Raw genomic sequence first — 4,056 nt, forward strand, 5'->3', positions numbered from 1 at the left:
CTTATAAGAATTGCACACAGGAAACAAGTCACATGCCAACAGCAGCCCTCATAAAGGAACTGTAGTACAGCCATGCAGTGAGACTGCTCGGCAGTGGGAGTGAATGATGTAACACACAACAGCGTGCATAGACCTCACCATGTCATGCTGAGTGAGAGAGGACACACATTTAAAGAGCACATTCTGTTTGATTCCATTCACGTAAAGGACAAAAACAGTCCAAACCGAATCGTTCTAATAGAAGTTAGGATAGTTGTTATCCTTGGGAAGAGAAGGGCCAGTTCCTGGAAAGGGAAATAGGTGGACTTGTGAGGCGCTAATAAATGGGTGTATTCAATTTGGAAAAATTGATTGAGCCACATAGTATACTTATGGTGTGTGCATTCCTTTTTAAAAAGATAAAATTCTTTGAAGAAAAAAAAGAATCAGATGTGTTTTAGCCTCTAAGTAAAGCAAAGTCACTTTACTTTGTTTGTGGAGACACCTGATTCCACTTGTTTTTTAATTACCAGTTGCTGCCTCCCCTGCCAAAATGGCTGATTCCAGCCACAAGAGTAAATATTTGCATAAATAGGATGCATATAATTTTGGTGTGATTGGCAGTTTAATTAGATACATGTCCTCTCACTGCCATTGTAATTAGATTGGTGGAGAATCCAGAAATTCCAGGTCGTTATATTTGTCTCTTAATTGCTGGATTTTTGGACAAGTATTTATTGTACTTATGAACATGATTCGTGGTCTTGGCATGGGGGAAGCCACACTTTCACTGCAGAACGAAGCTAATCTCATTATGTTAACCAGGAAATTCACATGCTAAACAAAGAAGTAAAATAGGGAAAAACTGCCCCCTAAACTCCTTGTCTTTTCTACTGAGTGTCAGTCAGTGGCAAAATAGGGCTCCTGGAACATTAAAACAAGCCTTGAATTTAAGCGCGCCAGGAAAAAGCAAGTGGAAGTCCTTGCCAATTTTACAAGGCAATCTCCATTTCCCTATTGCTTGCTTTTTTTCCTTGTTTTACTGCAGCTAGTTTAACGTGATACTGTAACTCTACCAGGAATGAACACAAACCAGATTCAATGCTCATCCAACAAGAGTGAATGTAGATGCAGATGAAATATTGAGGGGCCATGTGGTTTATGCCCCTGTCTCTAGGCAGGATTTCTTGAACATCACCACTCAGGAAGCCAGTCACCTGAATCCGATGGCAGTATCATGACAAGGGTTTGCTCTCTTCCTTTGCTCATCCTGACCTTTCTGGATTCAGCCTAGATGATCTCAACTAGTTAATTTTAATTTTGCATACACAGGAATTAGGCAATGTCTTTTTTTTCAAAACAATTATTTTTTTCTTAGATATTTTTACTTAATTTAGAGTAAGTAATTAGAATCTCATTTTCTCCTAGAATGAACTAGAAGATGTTTGGGTATATGTATGTGTGTTTTTGAAATTTCTATGCAGATTTCAACTCAAACCTACACACTTTAAAAATACATGGTTTTTAGATATTAGTCACAATATATTGCTTCCAATGCAAAAGCAAAATATAGTAAGCCTTACATACTAAATTAGATCATCTTTTAGAGAAGACAACATGTGGATAAAGTTTTATAACTAATTCTTAGCTATTATCCATTCCAAGTTCTTAGCTATTATCCATTCCATCCTTACTTAATTCTGATCTGATCTTAGATTGCTAGAATGCTCCTTTCTAAATTGTCCTTAATACTGACTCAGAGACAGAGGCAAGCAACTTCACTCATTGAATATTTACTGAGTGCTTCCTATACATCAAGCACTATTCTTAGTACTAGAGATGGGGAAATGAATAAGAAACTGTCTTATCTTAAAGGGGCTCAAATTTAGACAAAAGGACAAACATATAACAACAGAATGTTAGGGAATAAAAATATATGTAGAAATTATAAATGAAGTACAGAGGAGGGGGGATTAACTTTAAGGGTAGAGGGATTCAAGGAAATGCTTGCTAAAGAAGGAATGTCTGAATGTGTTTTTTAAGGGTGAAGAGGAATTTTCCTAGTGGGCTTCTAGACAGTAAGGATGCAATGACCATAGGCACAAATACTTGAAACAGCCTAGCACATTCTGGGAACTGGATGTAGTGGTTTGATAGATAGATAGAGGTAAAATAAATATACCTTGGCAGAAATCGTGACCTTATTCTCTTGGTGAGGGGACAAATATGAAGGTTTCTACATTGGTCGTGTGATTGGCTCACTCTGGCAGCGGTGTGGACGAAGGACTGAAGAGTGTGCCTGGAGGCAGAAATGCTACTCCTTCAGATGAGGAAGAATAATTGAAAGGTTTTTACGTTAGTTTAAGATAGCCATGATGAGAATTTGGACAAAAATGTGAAGATGTTTGGAAATGAGAGAACAATTTGAGAGATGCCTAGAAGAAGGACCAGCAATATTGGTGAAGAGATAGGCTTAGTTTAACAATCTGTCTTCTAGCTCACTTCACAATCTTCGCAGCATTTCGCTGGCTCCTCTTCTTCTGTGATTCCCAATCACACAGCAATGCTACCCAGAAAGTGAAAGCTCCCAGCCCACTCTCTTCAAACCTAGAAGGTTTCTCAGGCTTTTGTTAGAAGGCGAGTAGAACAACCTGGAATCTTTCTCTCCATATGCTCTCTGAGCTTTGGCTGGCAGCTGCTAACTAGGTGTAGCATCATTTAAATAATTTTTCTTAAGAACATCTTGAGCTTATGATCTGATTTACTTTACAGAATACCATTTATACACCTAAAGACATTAGAATAGAATCTCTACAAAACATATTTTTATAAAACAGGAAACAGAGCATTTCATGAACAGATATTAATGGGCTTATTTATATTTCAATCACAAAAGAAATACTCCTGAAAAATCCATTTTAGGTCTAGCAGTTAGGACTCTTCGAGTTGCAAATAACAGAATAGCTCACTCAAACTGGATTAGGCCCCCAAGGGAATTTATTAGCCTGTGTAGCAAAGATAGAGGCATGGCTTCCTCTGTGCAAATAGTGTCATCAGATGCAGTCTCTGCTTCCTGGCTCTCTCTTTCATGCTGGCTTCATTCTTACCTTCCATCCATTGGTCACAAGATAGCCAAAAGTCACATACCTGGTTTAATTCCCAAGATAAGAAAAGAGTCAAGCAGATTTGATAGTCTGGAGAAAATAGAGGAGATTCCCCAGACAACATGGAGTGTGGACAAGCTGTTTCCTAAAAGAAATTCTCAGTACTGGTACCAGAAGGAAAAATGAATGACAAGCAGGTAAAGACAAGAAATATCTACTCTACTAGAAAGTTCAAAAATTCTGAGAGAAGCATGAGATTCTATGTTTACTGAGTCTGCCGCTTCATTTGTAATTTACTCAGCAGTTAGCTCAATGATGGGTGCATGACACCCATGCTCATTAAATATTTGTTGAATGAATGAATAAAAAATGAATGAGTGAATACAACATGCGCTTCATGTCAGAACTGCCACCCGATTTCCTGAATCTGAGAGATGTAATTGCATGCAAGACTCACGGCTCTGTGCCCGTCCCTCATATGTCCCACAGCACTACCATAGAACAATTACACGTGCCTTGGTTGTCTGTTTACCCATCTGAATCTCCTCTCCTAGACTAGAAACCCTAGGAGGGCAGGGGCTGTACTATTCCTCTTTGACCTAGCATAGCAATGGCACAGTCTGTCCTTAGTAATTATCTGTTGCATACCTAAACACATGAATAAATAAATAAATAATCAATTGTAAGATGGCTCGCTTGAGTTTTCAAAAGACAACAGTTTCTCTCCCACCTCATTGCCTGCACTCAATCAATATAGCCTATAACAGTGATTTCCAAACCTGCTGGCACTTTACAGTCACCTGAGGGTCTTTAAAAAGAATATCTAAAGCCCAGGACACACCCCAGACCAATTAAATCACAATATTTGGGGGAGCAGGCACAGGCATTACTAATTTTTGAAGCTCTGCAGGTGACCCCATGTACAGACAAGTTTGGGAAGCACCACTCTATAGGCTTATCAGAAACTGAGTGA

Source organism: Homo sapiens, chromosome 11 (genome assembly GCF_000001405.40).
Source record: "Homo sapiens chromosome 11, GRCh38.p14 Primary Assembly".
Classification (NCBI taxonomy): domain Eukaryota; kingdom Metazoa; phylum Chordata; class Mammalia; order Primates; family Hominidae; genus Homo; species Homo sapiens.